This window comes from Homo sapiens, chromosome 2, assembly GCF_000001405.40.
Source record: "Homo sapiens chromosome 2, GRCh38.p14 Primary Assembly".
In the NCBI taxonomy this organism is placed as follows: Eukaryota; Metazoa; Chordata; class Mammalia; order Primates; family Hominidae; genus Homo; species Homo sapiens.
The window spans coordinates 41871768-41895153 of record NC_000002.12 but is presented as its reverse complement, the minus strand read 5'-3'; the positions used below and the strand labels follow the sequence as shown (position 1 = coordinate 41895153).

Genomic DNA, 23386 nt, shown 5'->3' with positions numbered 1-23386 from the left:
GTTTTGAAACATGTCTGCAAATTCCTTGATGTTCCTCCCACTGAGAGGTGGCATTGAATTCCTCTCCCCTTGAACATGGACCAGCCTCAGTGACTTGCTTCAAAGGAAGAGAATGTGGCGAAAGTGATGCTGTGTGTCTGCTACGGCTGTTTAGAGAAGCTTCTGCCTGGCTCTGTCTCCCGGGATGCTTGCCTTTGAAACCAGTTGTTATGTTAGGAGAAAGCTCAGGCTACATAGAGAGTCCACATGAAATTTTGGACCAGCAGCCCCACCTAAGGTCCCAGCTAACAGCCAGCATCAATTGTCAGATCATCCTTGAAGTTGTCCCAGCTGATACCAAGTGGAGCAGGGATGAGCTGTTCTCAACAAGCCCTGCCTAAATTGCTGATTCATGAGCAAAATAAAAGTTGTTGTTTTCAGCCAATAAGTTGTGGATGGTTTATTTTGTAGCAATAAGTAAATGGATCATGAACTTGCATAGTAGAGCACAGAGGAGAAGCAGCAGGATCCAGTTCTAAGAGCTTGTGTTCCAGAGTCACGCAGTTGATTATGCATTTTCAGCTCTGCTATATGCTTGCTGGGAAAGTTATATACCCTCTCGAGACTGTTTTGTCCTCTGTAAAATGGTAAGATGGTAAGATTGATTGTATGGGTGTTGTATTAGTTTGCTAAGGCTGCCATAACAAGATACTATGGACTGGATGGCTTAAACAACAGAAATTAATTTTCTCATAGTTCTGGAGGCCGGAAGTCCAGTATCAAGGTACCGGTAGGTTTGGTTTCTTCCGAGGCCCCTCTCCTTGGCTTGCGGATGGCTGCCTTCTCGCTATGTCCTTGCCTCCCAGCATGTGCCTAACAATGTTCACATTTCCTCTTCTGTAAGGTCACCAATCCTATTGGATTAGGGCCCACCCTAATTATGATTCACTTTAACTTAATTACCTGTTTTAAGGATGTGTCTCCAAACACAGTCATTCAGAGGTACTGGGGGTTAGGACTTCAACGTACGAGTCTTGTTGAGTGGTGGGGAGTGGGTAGATACAATTCAGCCCATGACAATCGTTACCAGGATTAAATGAGGTAAAACAAACATAAAGAACAGGTTACTCGTGGACACATTGGAAGTGTTTAATAAATAATGGCCATTATTATTACATATGTGATGTCAACCTGATTAATTATACCTGATACATGCAAAAAAGGGGAACACCACTATGTATGCCCCAGGGGAAGCTGTGTATTCCTCTCACTTGGATGATAAGAGAAGACAAGCTCTCTACTAAGCACACTATGTCCCTCCACCTCCTAACCTGGGCCCCTGGCTTAGTGATGGTGGCAAGAGAGGGGTTGAGGAGTCCCCTCTGGAGGAAGGAAGCAGCATTATTTCTTGACCCTCAGAGACAGCTGCTTCCTTTGGGGACCCTTGGAAGGGGCTCCTTGTTTAAGCCTGGAAGATCCCAGGGTGATATCAGGTAAGGAAAGACCTGGGACAGTGTACAAACCCGAAGTCACTCTGTCTGCAATTGCCTGGGTGCTCCAGAACTGACCCTTGGAGTCATCCCCACTGGAGGCAATTTGGAGAAGGTATTTTCGAGAGAAAGTCCCCACGCAGAAAACCTTTCTGCCAAGTCCTTTGTTTTCCTAATGTTGCCGCAGTGTCTGGAGCTGAATTTTAAAAATGGCATTTTCCTGGAAAGGATTTTTTGGTCTTTTTTGGAAATGTCTCATGTAAAACAAGATCACCAGTGGGCCATTGAGTCTGGTCTCCCCGGGATGAGCTTGGGAAATGGCAAGTGGGGGAGGGCGAGTCTGGGTGGGAAAAAGAACAAAAAACAGAGTTGGAGGGAAAGCGGGACGTGACAAAGGGGTCAGCATTCATGTGTTAGGAATAGGCTCAGAGCTCAGGATTCATTCCAGTGGGTAAGGCATCGTGCCGGGGAGGGAGGAAGGGGAAGGGGCCCTTGACAGCAGGGCTGTGGGAATGTCCTCTGAAAGCCTCCATTCACCACAGAAATGGACCTATCCCTGGGCCTGCCACCTCCTTCACTCCCTTGTGTGACATGGGTAAGAAGGCAAGAATGATACAACAGGGGCCGTGTCTCTTCCATCAGACTGGATTTCCTTCCTGAAGGGAGGAACTATAGGTGGCATTCATTCTACGGCTCTAAGAGGGTTGCCTTGTATCTTCCCATCAGACTGGAGGGTCCCCAAGTACAGGGACCCTGTCCCTCCTTGACCTAAGGAATCAGTAGAGCTGAGAACCTCCTTCCCTTCCTTCTCTCTGTCTCCGTGAACTCACTGTGTAGGAGGAGCTTGGTTTGTGACCTGCCTGACCCAGTGACCTACTCAAAGTGGCATCTCCACCCTTGGAAGCACAGGTAAGACATGCTGACTGAAAGTCATTGCCATGAGCAGCTCGTCGCCACCTCTCTCCTGGCCCAGGGCCAGGGCCATTTCTGTGGCCAAGTGGAATTTCTGTGGCAGGAAGACTCTTGGAAGCTCTTTGCAGAGTTGGCTTTCATCCTCCAGGCTTCTCTGTTGCTCTTCTGTCCATTCCTCAGCCTGCCTGTGCCTCTCAGGCCTGGCCTCATGTCTCCCGGGTTTGTGGTGACCCTGGGCCTCAGACTGGAATGAGGACAAATAGCAGAGGAATGGGTAGATAAGAATCACTGAATCTCTGAATTAGAAGCCACTCTAGAGGTGGTTTTCTCCATTTTCTTGTCTGGAAAGTAAATTCATACAGTGGACACTTAAGAACACCTGTTCTGTGCCAGTCTCTGCTTCAGACACCAGGTACATAGTGGTGGACAAAGCAGTCATGGTTCCTGCCCTCATGGGGCTAAGTGTCTGATATCTGAATATTTGGACAATAGTCTCATTAAGTAGCCATACAGATTGTACTTAGAAAACCATGTTTTTGGAGTTCTCCCTCCCTCCCAAGGCAGCCAATTTCAATTTGGACAGCTCTGAAAGTTATAGAAGTCCCTCCATAGATGTAGTCAAAGTCCTTCCACTTCATAACTTCCACTCACTTGTCTCAGCCTACTTTCACATCTACCCAGGACAATAAGCCTGTTCCCTTCCGCCTGGAAATCCCTCACCATGGTGGCAAATCTGTTAGTTTTTCTTTTGTTTTATTTTTGGCTATGTTATTAGGTATATTCATGTTTAGGGTTGTTTTATTTTTCTGGAGAATTCTTTTTATCATTTTGTAATTGTTTTCTTTATTTTTTCTGACTTTAATATTGTTTCACTGCTTGGCTTCAAAGTTGTGGGTTCCTACCACCCTCCCATTTCAGGTTGAATAATTGGCTAGAAAGGCTCACAGAACTTTGGGAGATACTTTACTTACTATCATTTTTTTTGGATAATGATCACTTGGTATATTTCTTCTGATTTCATTTCAATAATTCTGTGTTATTATATTTTAAGTGTGTTTACTAGAAAAAACAAAAGGCCGGATTTCTTATTTGATCTTAGTGTTTCTTTTAACAAGTAATTTTAATTCTTTACATTTACTACATTTATTATTAGAACACAGTTATGACTGGTGTATATTGATATCTTTATGTTTTTGTTTTAATCTCTTAGCTTCTTTTGTTTCCTTTTTTCTTTCTGTTAGTATATTGACAATTTTCTGTTTTTTTCTCCTACTGTTTTAACAGTTACATACATTTGAATTCTCTCCTTTGAGAGGTTATCCTTAAATTTTTTAACATTCTTTGAATGCTACCAATTTTAAACTGTTTTTACTTACAACACTTCTGACACCAAATGGGTGGTTTTTTTCCCCATGCTCACAACTGTTTCCAACTCTCTGGGCACCAGCTGGGTGTCCTACAATTCAGTTCAATTCTGACACTTACTGACGGAAGTTAATGTCAGACTCCACAGGTTTACAGGCTCAGTCTCACAAGCCTCCCTTCACTTCAGATGCCTATTACAAATTTGGTGCCCAAGATACTACCACTTCTGTCTGACATGGCTACAAAGTTGTGAGTTCCCACCACCCTCCCATTTCAGGTTCAGTAATTGTCTGGAAGGGCTTACAGAACTCTGGAAGATACTTTGCTGACTCTTAGTTTTCTTTTGTGTAGAGGAGCAGATGAATGGCCAGATGAAGAGGCACATAGGACAATGTTCAGCAGGGTCCCAAGCACAAGACTTCTGTCCATGTGAAGTCGGGGTCTGCCACCTTCCCAACACATGGATGTGTTTGCCAACTCTGAAACTCGCTGAACCCCTCCGTGTAGGAGTTTTTAATGGGAGTTTAATGATGTAGGCAGGATTAATGAAATTATTGGCCATTGGTGGTTGAACTCAACCTTCAGCCCCTCTCCCCTCCCTGGAGGCTGTGGGTGGAGTGGGGCTGAAAGTTTCAAACCTCTAATCATGCCTTGGTCTTTCAGGTGACCAAGACTCCTGAATCTATCCACATGCCCTCAACTACCAGTGCTCTTATTAACATACAAAAGATACTCACCACTCCATAGATGCTAAGGATTTTAGGGGATGTGTGTCAGGAGGAACAAAGATCAAATACTTATTTTTACTATATCACACTGTGCAATTTAGGTTTACACTTGGCTGTACATCATAGAAAACAGTGGATTAAACATTTAGGGGTTTATTTCGCAACGAGAAGACTGGAGTAAAAAGTTCAGAGCTAGTACACATCTTTAAGGATATCATTAAGCACCCAGGGTTTTAAAATTTAATTATCCTTTTCTCTTACTCTTAGTGTGTGACTTCGTCCTGTCTTCATGGTCTCAGGGTGTCTGTTGCTCCTCCAAGCATTTTGTCCTTATTTTAGGTAGGAAGAAGAGAAAAGGGTAATTGGTAAAGGGCAAAGCATTCTTTCTGGAAGTTGACCAGTAGGCTTCTGTTTTTATTTCATTGGCCAGAACTGCAATACATTGCTACCTCAGCCTCAAGGGAATCTGGGAAGGTGTGTATTTTTAGTTGAGCACTGTGCTGCCCTGTGAAAAATCAAGATTCTATTAAAGAGAGACTATATACTGTGTTAGCTGCTATAAGTATATATAATTCATGCATATTACTGTAACAATTTTACAGTTAATTAGACTCTGTATATCCTTAGGATGCTCTTATTCTAATTACTCCATCCTAAGTTTTATGTTATTAGTGTTTGGCACTTTAGGTCCACTTTGTCTTGTTTGTTTGTTTTGATTTATGAGATAGGGTCTTGTTCTGTTGCCCAGGCTGGTTTGCAGTGGCATGATCATAGTTCATTGCAGCCTCGAATTCCTGGGCTCAAGTGATCCTCCTGCCTCAGCCTCCTGAGTAGCTGGGACTACAGGCACACACCACCACACCTGGCTAATTTTGATATTTTATTTTTATTTTTTTATTTTTGTAGTGACAGGGTCTTTTTATATTGCCAGGGCTGTTCTCCAACTTTTGGCCTCAAGCGATCCTCCTCCTTTGGCCTCCCCAAGTGTTGGGATTACAGGCATGAGCCACTCCCCGCTTTGTCTTTAAATGCCACAAAAATCAGACGATAGTATTGTTATTGCTATTTTGCAGTCAATTCTTGTTTAGATTTACCCACATGTTTATCCATTTCTTCACTTACCACTGATTCTTCCACCCTACTCCTTCCTCTCAGCTCAATTTTCTTCTAGAAGTGATAAATTCTCTTGTCTTTTTCTGAAGATGTGATTTTTTAAAAATCCCCACTCTTGAATGATAGTTAACCTTGGCTGGGCATTCTACAATGATAGTTGTTGTTTTCTTCAGCACAGAAAAATTATTCCATTGGTCTCTGTTTGCTGATGCTAAGTCTGCTATTTTTTTCTTATGAATGATATCTCTCTTTAATTCCTGATGCTTTTTTTTTTTTTTTCTTTTTTTGAGACTGAGTCTTGCTCTGTCACCCAGGCTGGAGTGGAGTGCAGTGGCGTGGTCTTGGCTCATTGCAAGCTTCACCTCCTGGGTTCACGCCATTCTCTTGCCTCAGCCTCCTGGGTAGCTAGGACTACAGGCGCCGCCACCATGGCTGGCTAAATTTTTGTATTTTTAGTAGAGATGGGGTTTCACCGTGTTAGCCAGGATGGTGTTAATCTCCTGACCTCGTGATCCGCCCACCTCAGCCTCCCTAAGTGCTGCGATTACAGGCGTGAGCTACCACACCCGGCCTCCTGATGCTTTTATAATTTTTCTGTCAGTCATGTTCTGAAGTTTCACTATAATGAGCCTCGGTGTAATTTTCTACTCATTTATCTTGCTCAGAATTCCACGAGCTTCTTCAGTTGAAGCTCTACACTTTTCATTAATGTAAGGATTCTCAGCCATTACCTCTGAATATTTCTTCCCCTTCCTTCTCTCCAATTTCTCCCTCTAGCATTCATATTAGATGTAGGTTGGACATTCACATTCTATCCTTTACGTCCTGTATTTTCTCTGTATTTTTTTTCTCTTTTAATTGTTTAATGTTACATTCTGGAAAATTTTCCAAGATCCGTTTTTGGTTTACTGAGCCTCTCCTTCAGTTTTGTCTAATCTGCTATTTAATCGATGCTTTGACTGTATCTTTTATTTACAGAAGCTCTAGAAGTTACTTTTTCAAGTTTATCTTTTTTTAGAAACAATATTCTATTTGTACTTTATGGTTTCTGTTCTTTATTTCAGATTATTTTATTTTAAATTCTTCAGGTGAAAATCCTCTTATTCATCTTCTAGTCTTTTTTATGGTGGTTCCTTTCCTCAGGTGGGTTGTAATTTTTGGTTGTGAATTCATCTTTAGCTGCTTTTCCCCTTGGGATAGAGAGGATCTTCTGTAGAGAAGTTTTCTATTCTTCTAGAATTTCTCTATGTGCCCCAGGGAGACTGTTGAGGACAAATTCTTATATTAAGAATATAAGAAGAATTTTTTGATTTGGGATTCAAACACTAGGTTGTGAGGGCTAATTTTATGCATCAACTTGGCTAGGCCATGGTACCCAGTTTTTGGTCAAACACCTAGCTAGGTGTTGCTGTGAAGACAATTTTTTAAAGGTGTGATTAACATTCAAATCAGTTAGCATTGAGTAGAGCAGATTACCACCCATAATGTGGATGAGCCTCATCCAGTCACTTGAAGGCCTGAAAAGGAAAAGAAGGAATTCTGTCTCTAGGCTGCCTTTGGACTTGAGCTATGACATTATCTCTTCCCTGGGTCTCTAATTTGATGGCTTGTCCTGAAGATTGTGGATTTGCCAGCCCTGATAATTCCATGAGCTAATTCCTTAAAATCAATCTCTCTCCCCATCCCTCTACCCCCACCCCTCCCTCCCCTCATCTCATTGTCCAGTTGGTTGTATTTCTCTGGAGAACCCTGACCAATATAACAGGTAAGCAGTGTAAATTTGTAGAACACATCTGTGTTTGGTATGGATTTGAAGTTTTGTGGGCCATCAAAACTCTAGCCTCTAGACATTAGGACTTATATTTGGATAAATATAATCTTGGACCATCAAGACATCAGCTGAGGTTTTCCACTCTGAATAGGAGTTTTAATTTCTGGCTCCTAGAGATTTTACTTTGTTTATTTATTTGAGGACAGAGTCTCACTCTGTTGCTCAGGCTGGAGTGCAGTGGCATGATCTTGGTTCACTGCAACCTCCACCTCCTGGGTTCAAGCGATTCTTGTGCCTTAGCCTCCTGAGTAGCTGGGATTACAGGTGCACTCCACCACGCCTGACTAATTTTTTTGTGTTTATAGTAGAGATGGGGTTTCACCATGTTGACCAGGCTGGTCTTGAACTCTTGGCCTCAAGTGATCCACCTGCCTTGGCCTCCCAGAGTGCTGGGATTACAGGTGTGAACCACCACACCCAGCCAATTTTACTTGATTTTTATGAGCTTAGCTATATTTACAAAATTGTTTCTTTTTCTTTTTTTTGCTATGTATTACCAGTATTTTAATGGGTTAGTAGAGGGAGTGGAAGTCGATGTTAGCTCAGCGTGTAATGTTTCTGGAAACTGAAAATCTTACCGGGTTTTCAGATTGTTGAAAACAGCTTTCATGTTCCTCCCTAAGACTTCTCTAACCAGTTGCCCTTTACATGATGAGGTGTGTTATCTCGACTGGACTTTTATTCTGCTGTCCAGTTTGTTCATGTGCTTCCTGAAGAGTGGGACCCCAGCCAAAGCTGCATTCCTCAGCTATGGTCAGACTAAGAGGTCAGAAGCCACTGTCACTGTACATTCTGGATTCCACACTCTTCCCCATGAGGTCTTAGGTTCCAAGAAGTCTTTGGGCTAAAACATCACAGTGTTGGCAAAGAGTCAGCTTCCAAAACCCGTAGTGGGTGGAAAAAGAGTAAGAACTGTCATAAGAAGCTGGGAGGTTTTAAAAGGTAACTAGGATTTGGAGGAGTTAAGGTTAAAGAGATGTGGCCCAGCCTGTGGGGCCCTGCAGGGACATTCCTAGTCCTTTCTCAGGACGAATCATTTCATGGCAGAAAGCTGCAGGAGACAGCTTCAGTGTTTTCTTTATTATTTAGGTTATTATTTGCATTTGGTCTACTTTTTTCAGGCTTAGATTTTCTTTTTTCAGGATACTGTGCAAGCACCTTAAATCTCTGTTTAGAAACCTCGCTGTGTTCTGTTTGGTGTGTTTTGTTCTGATAAGCCTGGATTTTATAACTGCCAGGTCTTTTGTAGAATGGCTGGAAGCAGGGACCTGTAGTCTGATGAAGATAGTTGCTAAGGAATAATTCATTTAGTGTAGATTAGGAATCACGCCAGTTATCATCTCAAAAGGGAAGGACAGAGGGAGATGGAGAGAGGGGGAAGGAGAGAGAGAGAGTTATCAGGTAGAGAAAACCTGCTATGTGACCTTTCTAAATCCCTTAAACTCTGAGTCTCAATTTCTCTGTCTGTAAATAGAAAGCATTTGACATTGACTCCCCTGCCTCAGATGATCTGAGCTCTGATTTCTCTGGTAGAAAAAAAAAAAAAAAGACAGTGATGTAGGTTTGTGCTGCTGGGAAGAAAATATGCTGCATATCTTTCTTTCTTACTCTTTCTCTCTTTCTTTTCTTTTGATGGAGGCTTGCTCTGTCGCCCAGGCTGGAGTGCAGTGGCGTGATCTTGGCTCACTGCAACCTTCGCCTCCCGGGTTCAAGCAATTCTCCTGCCTCAGCCTCCTGAGTAGCTGGGATTATAGGCACCTGCCACCACGCCTGGCTAATTTTTGTATTTTTAGTAGAGACAGAGTTTTACCATGTTAACCAGTCTGGTCTCGAACACCTGACCTCAGATGATCTACCTGCCTCGGCCTCCCAAAGTGCTGGGATTACAGGTATGAACCACCGCCCCCAGCCGCATATCTTGCTTATCTTGTAGCTACATGTCTCAGAATGGCAGTTTTAAATTCTCGAAGTAATAATAATAGCAGAATTTTCTACAGTGCTCACAGTGGGCCTGACACTGTCCTAAGCACTTTATCAGCCTGTCTCGTTTAATCCTCACAATATCCGCATGAGCTAGGTACTGCTACTATCTTCATGCTGGAGGTAAGAAAACAAAGACACAGAAAAGTAACTTGTCCAAGGTCACACAACTAGAGTATGCCAGAACTGGGATTGAAACACAAGTCATGGGACTCTAGATTTAGTGCTGTTAGCCCACAGATGTTAAGAGCTGAGAGGTAGGGAGCTTGGGGAAATTCAGAAAAGCCATGAAGATACTTTTTTCTTTGTTTGTTTTTGAGACGGAGTCTCACTCTGTCACACGCCACCATAACTAGCTAATTTTTTGTATTTTAGCAGGGACGGGACTTCACCATGTTGCCCAGGCTGGTCTCAAACTCCTGACTCAGGCAATCTGCTCATGTGGGCCTCCCAAAGTGCTAGGATTACAGGTGTGAGACGCCACACCTGGCCCCATGAAGATACTTTAAAAGCCCTGGAAAAAAAGAAAGAATAAAGGGGAGACAGCATAGAATGGGGGATTCGACTTAGTCTTGATGGGAAGGCATCTCAAGAAAGTATGTATTGAGGTGAGCTCTAGGGAATAAGAAGGTGTTAACTAGGCATGCCAAGGAAGAGCCTGGCAGGCAGAGGGGTTGGATATGCTGAGGGAACACAGTGAAGTCAGGAACTGGAAGGTATCTACGCACTTGGGGTTTAGAGAATAGGGGGCGTGGGGCAAAATAAGGCTGGGCAGGTGGGCAGGGGCCTGCCCATGCAGGGCTTTCGGTGCCTCTGTGTTTCTCAGGGTTTCTCACCCTTACCACAATTGGCATTTGGGGCTGAGTTAGTCTTCGTTGTGGGGACCACCCTGTGCAGTGTAGGATGTTGAGCAACAACCCTGGCCTCTACCCAGTAGGTGCAATAGTATTCTTGCTCTGAGTCGTGACAACCAAAAATGTCTCCAGGTATTGTCAAGTATCTCCCAAGGTGAAAAATTGTCCCTGGTAGTACATCACTGAGCAAGATATTTCACTCTCTTGGTATCCTTTCTCACAAGATGTCTACACAATGGACCCTGAGTCACAGGGTGACTTTCTAGACATGGGTATTGACTTGGATCTCCTTTGGCCAGGTTGTACCCCGGCCTGTCCAGGTAGGTAAAACCTCTTGGATTCTCTCCTTGGAACCTGCCACGCTCAAGCAGAGGTATTATCATTGTCAGGGTGGACAATGCTGAAATTAGTGCACCGAACTAGGAAATGAAGACCAGAGAAATGCATCAGGTTCAGAGCAAAAACAAAGGGTTTCTTTACAACCAGGGCATCTAATGTTTCGGCACGATACGATACTTTCCCAACTTGCCCAGTCCTCTTTCTCCTGAAACCAACGTCAGTGTGTAGGGCTCAACAAAGCAGGCCTTTTACAGAGAAAATGACCTTAAATCAAAGAGAATAGAAACAAGATACTTGGCATAAATGGTAATAATAACCAGATTCCTGTGAAGGGCTAAAATATTGCTACTTTAGTCAGTGATTGTTGTGGGAATTGTACTTTTCAAACTCAATATCAAGCCCTTCTGGAACTTTTTGTCAAGTGTTTTCTGCTGCTGCCAAGTAACCCAGGGAAAAGGAGAGAGTTGTTTTGTCTAGTGTGTTTCTTCTATCCCCGGAAAAATCAAGTTCTAGGTGGGCTGCTTTTTTTGTCTTTTTTTTTTTTTTTAATGGCATGAGTTGATGCAAACGCTGGTAGTCTGCCCTACCAAGATGTCCTTGAAGGATGACGTTTATCTAGGAGCTATCCTGGGCCCTTTGTTTTTTTGTTGTAGAAATTCTGACTTCCCTTGCCTTCAACCTGTAGGACTTCCAAGCAGGGCACAATTTGACTAAAACATCGTAATGCCAAAAAGATTGTCCACAAAGAAAACTGTGCACTAGCCTTTTTCACATTTCCTGGTCTGTTCCCCTGATTCCTTGCACCTCTTACCTGAGATCATGACCTCTTCCAGACGGCCTGTGTCCTGCCTGGAGGCCACCCCCGCAGAGGAAAGCCTGCTCCGAAAAGCCACTTTGTCTCTTAGCCTGGAGATTATTTGGGGCAGACCGTGGCTCTGGGTAGGGGGCCAGAGCACTCTGTCCAGGTCATAACTAACTTCTAGTTGCCTGTCTCTCCTGTTAAATGATTATCCCTTTTTCACAGTTGAAAAAGGAGGCAACTCAAAATTAGAGTTGAACTTAAGGCAAAAAGTCTGAGGTGTCAACAACAACCACCACGATAATAGTGAATATTAAGTAGTTATTGTCAGCCCTATGTTAGGTGGTCTGTATACGTTATCTCATTTAATTATTACATTACCTCTGTGAGGTAAGTACTATCACTGTGCTCATTTTACAGATGAGAAAACTGGGGCTTAGCGAATTAAATAATTTGCTCAAGGTCACACAACTTTAAAGTGGCAGAGCCAGGGCATTCAAAGCTGAAGTATTCCTTGTGCCCTCTACTCTTTGTTGTCTCTCTTGATCCTTTTAGAGGCTTTACAAAAATATTTGGAGGAGGCTCTTGGTGTTTCTATAGAATTCCACCTTTGGACACATGGAAATCTTGATAACAAATCTTAACTATTTCTGAAAAAGTTGATCTCATGTATGGCTTTTGGGCTGTGCTGGGATGGACATATTCTCTGCCCCTTATTTAAATTATGTTGATATTCGTCCGGGTGCTGTGGCTCATGCCTGTAATCCCAGCACTTTGGGAGGCTGAGGTGGGTTGATCACCTGAGGTCAGGAGTTTGAGACTAGCCTGGCCAACATGGTGAGAACCTGTCTCTACTAAAAAAAAAATTAAAAAACCAGCTGGGTGTGGTGGCGTGTGCCTGTAATCCCAGATACTTGAGAGGCTGAGGCATGAGACTCACAGGCTGAGGCATGAGAATCACTTGAACCCAGAAGGTGGAGGTTGCAGTGAGCCGAGATCGCACCACTGCACTCCAGCATGGGCAACCGAGCAAGACTCCTTCTCAAAAAACAAACAAAACAAAAAATCCAAAGAAAGCTTTATAGTTACAAATATCTGTTTCATTGATCAAGTTTATCATCACCTTTATGGATACTATTTATAAAGATAATATGGATTTTTACCTCTTGGCATCATGGTAAACCAAGGTGATATCACTGGGCTTTGGTTTATTTGTAAATGAACGATTTGGGCAGCTTGATCTCTACAGTCTCTTGCCTTTACACTCTGGTGTGCACACGGACATACACACATGTGAAGCCCACTTAAAGACCTGGCATCCCCTTCATGAGGCATCAGTCATGGCCCACTGGCTCCCAAAATGTAGAATTCAGGTTCCAGGTGGCCATCAGCATGGCTGAGGATTTGTAAGTCCAGTCATCTAAGCAGCTGGCCTCTTCACCCAGGAGGCTGCTGTCCACCTACAGCCTCCAGCCCTCATTATAGCTCAGGATATATAAACAGTGACGGGTATAAACTAAACTAGTTTGCCTTCAAGGAGCTCCTGCCCTTCTTAGGGAGGGCCCTTGAGCCAGTCTTTTCACTCTGTAGGCTCAAGAAGAAACTGAACCCAGTCCCCAACTTCCGTGGGCAACAGGAAAACGCCACAGAAAGACCAGGTCGTAGAGCTACCATTCCAGGCATGAGTTTCCCTGGGACAAACTTGCCATGGAAAAGGCCCAAGAGAGGAAACGTGTGGAGCCCAGAGTAAAGGAAAGAGAGAAGGATGATGGTTAATCCTGTTTAATGGTTAATTCTGGGTATGCTGGTTAATCCTGGGGGCCTCAGAAGATGACCCATCCTAGAAAGTTGCCTCCCCACAAGGTCTGTCGGTACTGATCTCATATGCGGGTAAAGAAGGACCCAGCGGAGGAAGAATGGGCTTAGCTGAGCACATTCACACGTATGAGAGGAAACTTTGCCACAGTGTAGGAAGAACCAAGTGGGTGTGGGAAGCCAAGTTGGTCATTGTCGCAGCAATCCGGATGCATAAGAAGTAAAGAGGAGAGAAAAAATTAGTCATCTAAAATTGATTGAGGTCAAAATTATGGCATCCCAATTGGAGGCAAACCATGATAGACTTAAAAAGATTGGAAAGTGTTTGTTGTGTGGTGTAAAGCAGGGGTTAGTTTGCAAAGTATAGCCTGTGGGCCAGATATGGCCCACTGGCCTGTTTCTACAAATGCAGTTTATTGGAACATCCATCTACTCATTTATGTATTACGTATGGCTGCTTTTGTGTTGCAATGGCAGAGTTGAGGAGTTGCAACAGAGACCATCTGGCATACAAAGCCTGAAATATTTACTATCTGGCCCTTTACAGAAAAGAGGCAAGGACACATTGTTCCGAGTCCTGGATCCACAACTTTGGATGCATACTAGCTTTTGTAACCCACCTTTCAACGTCTGAATTTCTCATCTGTAAAATGGGGGACTATGTTACCTGTGCCCACTAACCACTTCACTCACTGAGGAGTGAAGACACTGAATGAAATGAGTGTGAAAATGTACATTAAGATCTAAAGAGTTATGCAAATGCAAAGTGTTATTAGGTCTGTTTTGTAATATTTGGCAAAAGAGAGAAGACGGAGAAAGTTGATTTTTTTCTCCAATGAGGCTAAAGAGAAAATAAACAATAAAGGTTGCCAAAGGGCATGTGCACCCTTTTATTTGTGTCAGTTAATGTGTAGTTTCCAGTCAATGGAAGCTCGGTTATTAAAATTAAAGAGGAAGAAATAAAATTCACAGCCACCTTGAAAGGACTGAACAGATTCATTAACAGTGAGGTACAGTCAGAGTGGGTAGAGGTACAGGTCTGAGGGTGTGCTGACCCACCTGGGAGCAACAGAGTGGGACTGAGGGAAGGGAAGAATGAGAAGACAAATCAGGAACTACTGCCTGGGATGTGTTTATATGGGCAATTAAACATTGTTTATCTGGAATTCAACTTAGCTGGGCATCCTGTATTTTTATTTGCTAAATGTTGCAACCTTCCCCCACCCTGAGTGGTTTTGGTAGGGCAACCAATCACAGGACTCTGCTCCCTGATCACGGAGCTTGTTGATGTTCAGTCCTGCAACTCTGAATCTTAAGCAGAGAGAAATAAGGAGAGAAGGCAGTTGGAGCTGATCATCTGATGGCAATGTTCCAGAAAGATCTTCAGAGCTGCCCAGTTCTATCTTTCCCAGGACTGTAGTTCAGGCTTGCTTTTAATCTCCAAACTATGCCATTCGTTTCCAATCTATCCCTTTCTGTTCCTTAAACTAGTCAGAGTTGGTTTCTGTTGCTTGCTGTCAAAGAACCCTAACCTAATATCTCAAGACACCCAAAACAGTATCCAATAAACCATGGGGATGGGTAAAGGGGTGGACAGAGAGGGGAGGAGATTAACTAGGGAAGGCTGTTTTTGAGTGTAGATCTGGACATAGGCAGAAGAGGGGTTGGGGGAGTGGTGAGAGTATTCTCAAAATCTGGTGAGTTATTTATGTCTGCTATAACAAGAAGAAATAGGGAACTACTAAAGGCTCTTGAGTAGGGGAAGGACTTGATAAAAATGACATTCAATTTAAAAAAATATTTCCAAAGCTGGCCTTTAAGTGTCTTGGAGGGGAAGTTGGTGGCAGGGAAGCTGGCTGGGGGGCTGGCTCCATGGTCCAAATGATAGTCCAGGGGTCTAGTGTGTAAGAGTGAGGCACTGAGAATGAAGAGGAAGAGAAAAATGGTGAGAATCAGCTCAGAGGAGACTGTGGGATTTTAATGACTTTCTGGTCATGGGGAATATCCAAGAGCAGGGAGGGAAGAGCTCCAATTGGGTCATGAGCCACAGTAACTCAGCTGTGGGGGCTCCATGACCATGGGCTTCCCAGGACCTGTGGCTGCAGGGTGGGCCCATGGTGGGGGTGGTCTGAAAGGAGCAGCTCTTGGAGGCCCTTGGGCCCATGATCCTTGTTGGCTGTGTCTCCACTCTCGGGGAGGGCTGTGGTGAGTACAGGCTGCAGCAGAAAGTGACAGGGATGATTAAAGGGATGGAAAATCAGGCCCATGAAGAGAGGTTAAAGGACTGCAGCTATTTAGCCTGGGGAAGAGAGGTAGTCATGTAACAGCTCCCTTCAAGTCCATGCAGGGTGACTGGTAGACGTGTGCTAGGCAGCTGCCCGGTGCAGCTGCCCGGCACAGCTGCATATAGGGGGAGAGAGCACCCCTGGAGCGAGCACCTCTGCAGCGAGGGAAAGGCACGCTCCCGAGGGAGGCAGAGGCATAATTACAAAGGCTCTTTTGTGGTTTCTGAAGGCCCCTCTCCCCTCCCCTTTGTTTTTTGCATCTGTCATTATGCTGTGCAAACCACAGCCAGGCCTCTTGACAGCACCAATATCTGCCTTCCTGAACACTCGGAAGGTAACGTGGCTATAAAATTGACAAGTTAGATAAATACTAGTACAAAGGGTAGACTGTGTGTAGCTTTGTGCAGCCTTCTGACTGGTCTCCCACCCCGACCTGGATAAATCCTCTGTCTGCATCCCTCTGGTCACCCCCAGCCTCGTCCATTCCATCTGGGCTCCTTCTGACGGACTCCCCAGGAGCTCACATTTGCTCGGCCTCTTTGTCTAATTTGTCACTTTGACAACTTGAAAGGTCTTTTATTTCTTCCCAGGTCAAATATGTTTCATTTCACTTAAAAAAATTTTTTTTAAAGCTTCCTTTTTTTTTTTTGGCCAGGCCACACTCTTGCTGTCTTGGCTGGGCTGCCACAGTTTTCCCGGAGGAGGCCCCAAAGCCCTTGGCCCACACTCCTCAGATCGCTGCTAGGGTAACTGAGGGCCTCCTCCCGTGGTGACTGTGTTGCCCGGATCCTCAGCAGAGGCCGTGTGGGCAACATGGTCATGGAAGGAAGGTAGCTTATGAACTCCGCATTCAGACACTTCAGAATTGGAGCTGGGCGGGGTGGGTTGGGGGATGGGAGGAGGAGGGATGGGGAAGGAACATTAGTCAGGATCCACCACCAAAGTGTTGGAATCTGGCTGTCCAAAAGCCCAGAGCTAAAATTTATTTGGTTTTGGTCCTGTTGTTAATGAACAGAGGGTGTCAGCGAACCTCACTCAGTGTTAGCCCAGTCTCCTGAGTAGGTGAGGAGAACCTGGAAGCCATAACCCCACCAAGAAGTTCTGTCAGGGAGCAGGGAATTTAGACCTCATCAGATGCCTGTGGAGTGACAGAGATCCCATTCACCACCGACAGCCTCCAGCTCATACCCTAGCAGCGATCGAGGAGGTGTGGGTAAGGGGTCTTTGGGGCCGCCTCCGGGAGAGACTGTGACTCGCTGGACCCATTATGTGCTGTGGCCAAAGCCCTTGACATGGATGGGGAAGGGGTACGGGAGAGGAGCAGGCACAGAGTCTGCTCATCCAGGGATTCCCAGACGAGCTGAGCCTCTCCCTAAACAGGAGTAAATGCCCCAAATCCCCTTCTTGCCAGGGATATGGGGATGCCCTAGGGGCAGGCCTAGCTTGTACTTCCCCCTGTGAGTCCACAGCGTGCAGCACGGGGCTGAGCACCCAGTGAGCAGATGGCTCTGAGGCTGGCAGTTCAAGCAGTGGGGCCTCAGAAACAGGCAGAACTGCCCGCCGTTCTCCAGCTGCGACTGCCCTCCTCTGCATCTGCTAAGTGGGCATGACTGGCACCCACCTCTAGAGCTGCTGTGAACATCGAGTAGCACCGTGCATGACCTGGGTTTGGCATGCTTGGCATGGAGTGAGACCCCATAATGTTAGCTACTGTTGTATTAATAATAATTTATTTTCAATATGACTTATTTAATGGAATGGATGAAGCAAAGGACGAGATTCAGCGGGAAGGGCTGGGCTTCGAGACCTGATCCTTTCTCATTTTAATGCTGCTCCCTCACTGTGGTCAGCCTGAGTGGGATCGGCTGCCCGGCCTTCATTTTACCTTTGTTGCCATCTCTCTTTGCGGTGGTTCTTTCTCTTCCTCCTCCTCCGCCTCATAAGCAAAGGGTAAGGCACAGTTCTGAATCTTTGGTTCTGTAAAGAGGCGTGCCCATCTCTGTGCTTGATTCCACTGGAAAAATAAGAACAATTCCTATTATTTTCGGTTCCGAGACCTTGAGTGTGTCAGGCTTCAGGTTCACTTCCTACATCTCTCCACGTTGCCCGGATCTGCAAGTAATTTAACCTTGTTTTTATAGAGCGCAAAGACGTTCCGCTTGTTTACACTGGAGACAAATTTTCCTCAATTGACGCAATCCTATTGATTAAATAATGACCTTCTTCCTCATTTAAAGGTAATTTCGGTTGGTATCATGACGTGGAGGAAGAAAATGAATGCCTTTTCTGTCTTGCTGTCTGAAGGGCAGGCAGTGAGGGCCGACTCCCAGAGCCCTGGGCAGGGCCCTCTCATTTTTCTCACCTGTTCTGGAACTTCATCAGGCGTCGGAGTGGGGCTAGTGCTGGGACCCCTTGAGGAGGTGGGCTAAATAGGACCAGTCTTGATTAGGGAAATTAAAAAGCCAGCATTTGCTATGTAATAAGATGTCAAGGCTGGGGCAGAGTAGATGCTACTTTGTTTTAAAACTTGATTTGCTTTCAAGACTTGTACGTAAATTACTTTTCAAGCTCATATCACACGATATAGTCCGGGCATGTCATTTGAGCCAAGGATTTAAAATCAAAGGGAAAGGCAATGTGCAAGTTCAGGAAGAACTTCAGGGAACAGCTCACACAGGAGAGACACAAAGATGGGAGCCTGGGGTGGTGAGAGAGTTGTTGGGTACTCTTGGGTAAGTCCTTTAACTTCTTCTGGGTCTAGATTCCTCATTGGTAAAACAGGGGTGACTGGATCAGATGACTTCTAAGGTACTTTCTTGGTTCTATGTTCTGTGATACGATGGAATCTGGAGACCCGGTTATTATTTGCTTCCATTCCAGATCCGTGTACTGTCTATTTCCATAAGGATAAGACCAGTGGATGACATTTGGAAGGATGGGACCTCTGTTGTTCCATTTTCTTTCTGTGAGGTCAGGTCAGTGCATTGTGTGTTAGCAATGCCATTTAAGAAATAGATATCCCTATATGTTCTGTAGGAGAATGCATATTTTGCAATGATCTGAAAAATTATCCTAATGCAAATACAGAGTGGCATAAATACCATGGCTGGACAGGAGCTAGACATGAATAAAAGAAAATCGGAGCTGACATTTTAAAGGTTTTTGCCCTATTATAGGCACATCTAGGCATTCCTTCATTTTCTCTTTACCAGAGGTTGGCAAACATTTTCTGTAAAGAGCCAGACAGTAAATATTTTAGGCTTTGTGGGCTATAACATCTTGGTTTTAGCAATTCAACTTTGCTGTAGTAGCAGAAAAGCAGTCACAGGTAAGATGTAAACAAATGTGTGTGGCTATATTCCAATTAAACTTTATGACCCTGACATTTGAATGTCATATCCTTTTCAGGTGTCACAAAATATTTTCTTGATTTTTTTCAACCATTTATAATGTAAAAACCATTCTTAGTTCATAGGCCTTCACAAAAACGGTCGGTGAGCCAGATTTGGCCCCATAACCACAGATCGCTGACCTCTTTTCTTTATTACAGTCCTTTAAGGGAGGAAGTATTTTACCGATGAGAAAAATCAAGGCTTAATGGGGTTAAATAACTTGCCTAGGTTTACCAGTTAGAAGCAAAAGAGCTGGAAGGTAATCTAAAAGGCCAGGTTCAGGCCGGGCATGGTGGCTCATGCCTGTAATCCCAGCACTTTGGGAGGCCAAGGCAGGAGGATTACTTGAGGCCAGGAGTTCGAGACCAGCCTGGGCAACATAATGAGACTCTGTTTTTATATATTTAAAAAAAAAAAAGCAGGCATGGTGGTGCATATCTGTAATCCCATCTACTTGGGAGACTGAGGTGGGAGGATAACTTGAGCCCAGGATTTTGGGGCTGCAGTAAGCCGTGATCATGTCCTTGACCCCCTCCAGCTTGGGTGACAGCAAGATCTTGTCTCAAAAGAAAAAAAAAAAAAAAAGAAAAGCCAGATTCAAGAGCTTAAACACCTACCCTTTAGGGATATCCAGCTAGAGTGATAGAATGTGAAAGACTTTGCTCCCTCTGACATTGATAAATAGTTACAAAATCTCCTTTTTAATCATTCTTACTTTTTCATGATGGTTCACATTCAAAACATTAGAGCAAGATTGGTGTCTCACAAGGCCGGGATACCTGGCTGGCTTAGAAATTACATGGGACAATAACTCAAAATGTGACTGAGCAGGAGGGAGGAGTGAGATGAAGAAACCAAAGAGTTCTGTGAGTACCAGGATCCAGGGAGAGGCCTGGCCACCCTTGTTTGGCCTGGGGGCTGGCTCAGCTTCTGCATCCTAAGGAGGAGATGCCACACCTCCACTGCCTCCCATTCTTGTTCTTGAAGATGATGCATCTTGGAAAGTTCTCTGATGCTTGCCTTTTTTTTTTTTTTTTTTTTTTGAGACAGAGTCTCGCTGCGTTGCCCAGGCTGGAGTGCAGTGGCAAGATCTCAGCTCACCGCACCCTCCACCTTCCAGGTTCAAGTGATTCTCCTGCCTCACCCTTCTGAGTAGCTGGGACTTCAGGCACCTACCACCATACCCAGCTAATTTTTGTATTTTTAGTAGAGACAGGGTTTCACCATGTTGGTCAGGCTGCTCTCGAACTCCTGACCTCAGGTGATTCGCCCGCCTCGGCCTCCCAAAGTGCTGGAATTACAGGTGTGAGCCACCATGCTTGGCCCTCTTAATGCTTTTTAATATTTCAAGAATGGACAGACTGTCTCCAGAGCTACACTGTCACCTTCCAGGGGTGGCCTATGTCTTCTGTCTTCTCCACACTTAGTACAGTCTGGGCACACAGAAATGCAATGATGCCAGGTGAGTGAGGCCTTTCAGTTCTAAAACAGGGTGCTTCAGGAAGTCGTGAGCTGCCTACTTCTGGAAGTGTGTGGTGATGCTGCTGTCAGCAGATGCTGGTGTAGAGGACCACTGCGGGTGGGAGGTGAGAGTGGAGGAAGGTTCGACGATCCTATCCATCCATGTAATAAACATCTGCTGAGCACCTAATGCATGTTGGATCCAAAGTCAGAAGCCCCCACATATATGATTTCTTTTGATTTCCACAACTAGCCTCTGACAGAGGCATGTGATCCCAGTGGCTAGATGGAGAAACTGAGGCTCAGAAGAGCTTGTCATTTTTTTTTTTTTTTTTGAAAAGATGCAAGCAGCGGGGGGCAGAGTCAGTGTAGTCTGCTTTCTGCCTTCCACCACAGGCCCCTCTATCGGGCTGTGTGGAGAAATGGGCTCCAGTTCTTGCTGTGACCCTCGCTAGATGTGTGGCTTCAACAAGTTATCTGACCTCTCTGAGTTTGTTTCTTCATCAGTTTAAGGGTTGACTTTTGGAGATTTGTCATGAAACAAAAAGAGATATTATATAAAAGTGTCTAAAACAGTGGCAGCCATGGCACAGGTTACAGTTGCTTTCTTCCTTCTGCTTCAAGATGATTTGGTTTTGTGAAGTTGACTGAGTCATCAATCTTACTCAGTTTGGGATCTTTAGGGCCTAGCAGAGAGCCGGGCATGGAGCAGACACTTAATAAATATTTGTTCAACGAATGGATACACAATGCTTATATCTACTGATGCCAACCATCTGGATACTCAAATGCTTCAACATGATGGGTTCTTGACTTTTCATCTAAATATTGGATGTCATCTTAAAATATAAGCAGCTAAAATGACGTGAAACATAAATATGAACACAGGTCTCACTGATGCAGATTCCTTGGGGGGAATGTGTAAATCAGTGAAAGTCTGCATAGGGCTGTATTTAAGGAAAGTGATTTGTTGTTTTCAAATAACTCCAGCTATGTCACCAGGTTTATTTATTTACCATCCATCCACCCATTGATGTAATCAGTCAACAGTGGCCCAGAGGGGCTCTTTGGGTGTCCTTTAATAAATAAGAAAGATTATCTGGAGCATGTTGGTTATTTGTAGATACATAGAAGCAGCTCAACTGCTTATGGGAGCTTGGAAACAGTTCGTGCTCAAGTGTTTTGGACATTCCCCCAATATTCTGCATACATTGTTTCTGTGCCTTGTCTCTGAAGAATCTTTATGCTAATTTACGGTCATATTCTTCTCTGCTAACGGGGGTGGGAATGCAGAGAGCTTCTGTCTGTTGCCTCTGAATGTGTGCAGTGCATGTGAAGAGAAAGAGTCAACACAGGCTAGATTCCCTAGGGAGAATCTCATTCTTGATATTGAGAACAACTTACTTGACTTATAGGAGTGAAAATCCTATGAACTGGATGAGGCTGTGCTATTATTCTTGGGATGAAAGATGGATGGAAAGACTCCTTTTATAGAAATTATTTTTGATGACTCAGGAACACTGTGATACCTTCAGGTCTACTGAAATGTACATGGCTATTTATCTCTATACTAAAATGACTCCAGCTTTCTATGCTTTTGGGATTCCTATTTGTGCTTTTGTTGCTATCTTGTGTCTTTCAGCTAACCTCACTTTTTTGATTCCCAGTATGCCTCTCACTAGCAGTTCAGTATCTTTCTTCTAATTTGTTGCCTGCTTCCAATATTCCAGGGACTAAACAAAAGAAGTAATAATAACAACAACAAAAATTCGGAAGGGTAAGTCTGTTAGAGCTGTTTGTGAAGCAAGAATGAAAAGAATCCAAATGAGTCTGAAAGGCCTTTCTGTGACTGCTTGGCATGAACTTTGGAACCCGGACATTGTGAGGTCTACAGTGGCTGTCTGGGGGTCTTTTCCACTTCCCTGTCCTTGACTGTCAGCTGGAGAGGTGATTTCAGGATTGGTGAGACACTACCGCACATATGTCTTACCATGGCAACCTCAAGGCATTCCTCTGAGGCCAGGATGTGGTTTCATTTCTCAGGGGAGTAGACTGAGGGGGAAACAGAAAAGTGTGAGGATGGCTTTCCATGAGGCATGGCCCTCAGGATCATGCTAAATGAAATGACATGTTGGTGTGTTTATCTGCAAACAGCCACATTGACTACTCACTTATTACAATTTTGAAGCTTATTAAAACAAAAAATACAGAGTCTTGCTGTGTTGCCCAGGCTGGAGTGCAGGGGCATGATCTCAGCTCACTACAACCTCCGCCTCCTGGGTTCAAGCAATTCTCAGAACTCCGGGTGTGGTGGCGCATGCTGGGATTACAGGCATGTGCCACCATACCCAGCTAGTTTTTGTATTTCTAATAGAGACAGAGTTTCACCACATTGGCCAGGCTGGTCTTGAACTCCTGAGCTGAAGAGATCTGCCTGCCTCGGCCTTCCAAAGTGCTGGGATTAAAGGCATGAGCCACTGTGCCTGGCCTGAAGCTGATTTTTTAATAGTTTGATCAGAGCTGCTTATTTCTTGACCTCTTTCGGAGACCTTCTGGAAAATTCTGGTGTCAGAGAAGGAGCACTCAGGAATCAGGAGTCAAGAGTTGCAAACTAGGCTGGGTGCGGTGGCTCAAGTGTATATTCCCAGTAGTTTGGGAGGCCAAGGCGAGAAGATCCCTTGGGGACCAGGCCAGGAGTTCAATACCAGCCCGGGCAACATAGTGAGACTATGTCTCTTAAAAAAAAAAAAAATTAGCTAGACATGTACCTGTAGTCCCAGCTACTTGGGAGGCTGAGGTGGGAGGATCACTTGAGCACAGGAGTTAGAGGTTACAGTGAGCTATCATTGCATTACTGCACTCTGGCCTGAATGACAGAGTGAGACCCTTTCCCAAAAAATAAGAAGCAAAGAGTTGCAGACTAGATCTTGTTCTGTGAGGTTGCTTAACCGCTCTGAATTTCAGTTATAAAATGTGAGGGCATTGGTTAAACCTGCCCTTTGCTAGGATCCGTCTAATAACACCCTATATATCTTTGATTTCT

The 23386-nt window shown here is 44.4% G+C and overlaps 1 long non-coding RNA gene across 1 annotated transcript, besides 1 other annotated feature; it reads right to left on the bottom strand.

The window, feature by feature from the left end:
* Positions 1-1107: 1107 nt before the first annotated feature.
* LINC01913 (long intergenic non-protein coding RNA 1913) lies at positions 1108-17599 on the bottom strand. The gene is made up of 3 exons (NR_033996.1): positions 17376-17599; positions 4736-4803; positions 1108-2625 (listed from the first exon to the last, which is right to left on the bottom strand). It is a non-coding gene; the product is annotated as a long intergenic non-protein coding RNA 1913 (long non-coding RNA).
* Positions 6119-6319: a silencer, noted in NCBI's record as "peak3674 fragment used in MPRA reporter construct". NCBI's record gives its function as "represses an SCP1 promoter by STARR-seq MPRAs in K562 erythroleukemia cells {active_cell/tissue: K562}" and the evidence as "EXISTENCE:reporter gene assay evidence [ECO:0000049][PMID:32103011]".
* Positions 17600-23386: the final 5787 nt, after the last annotated feature.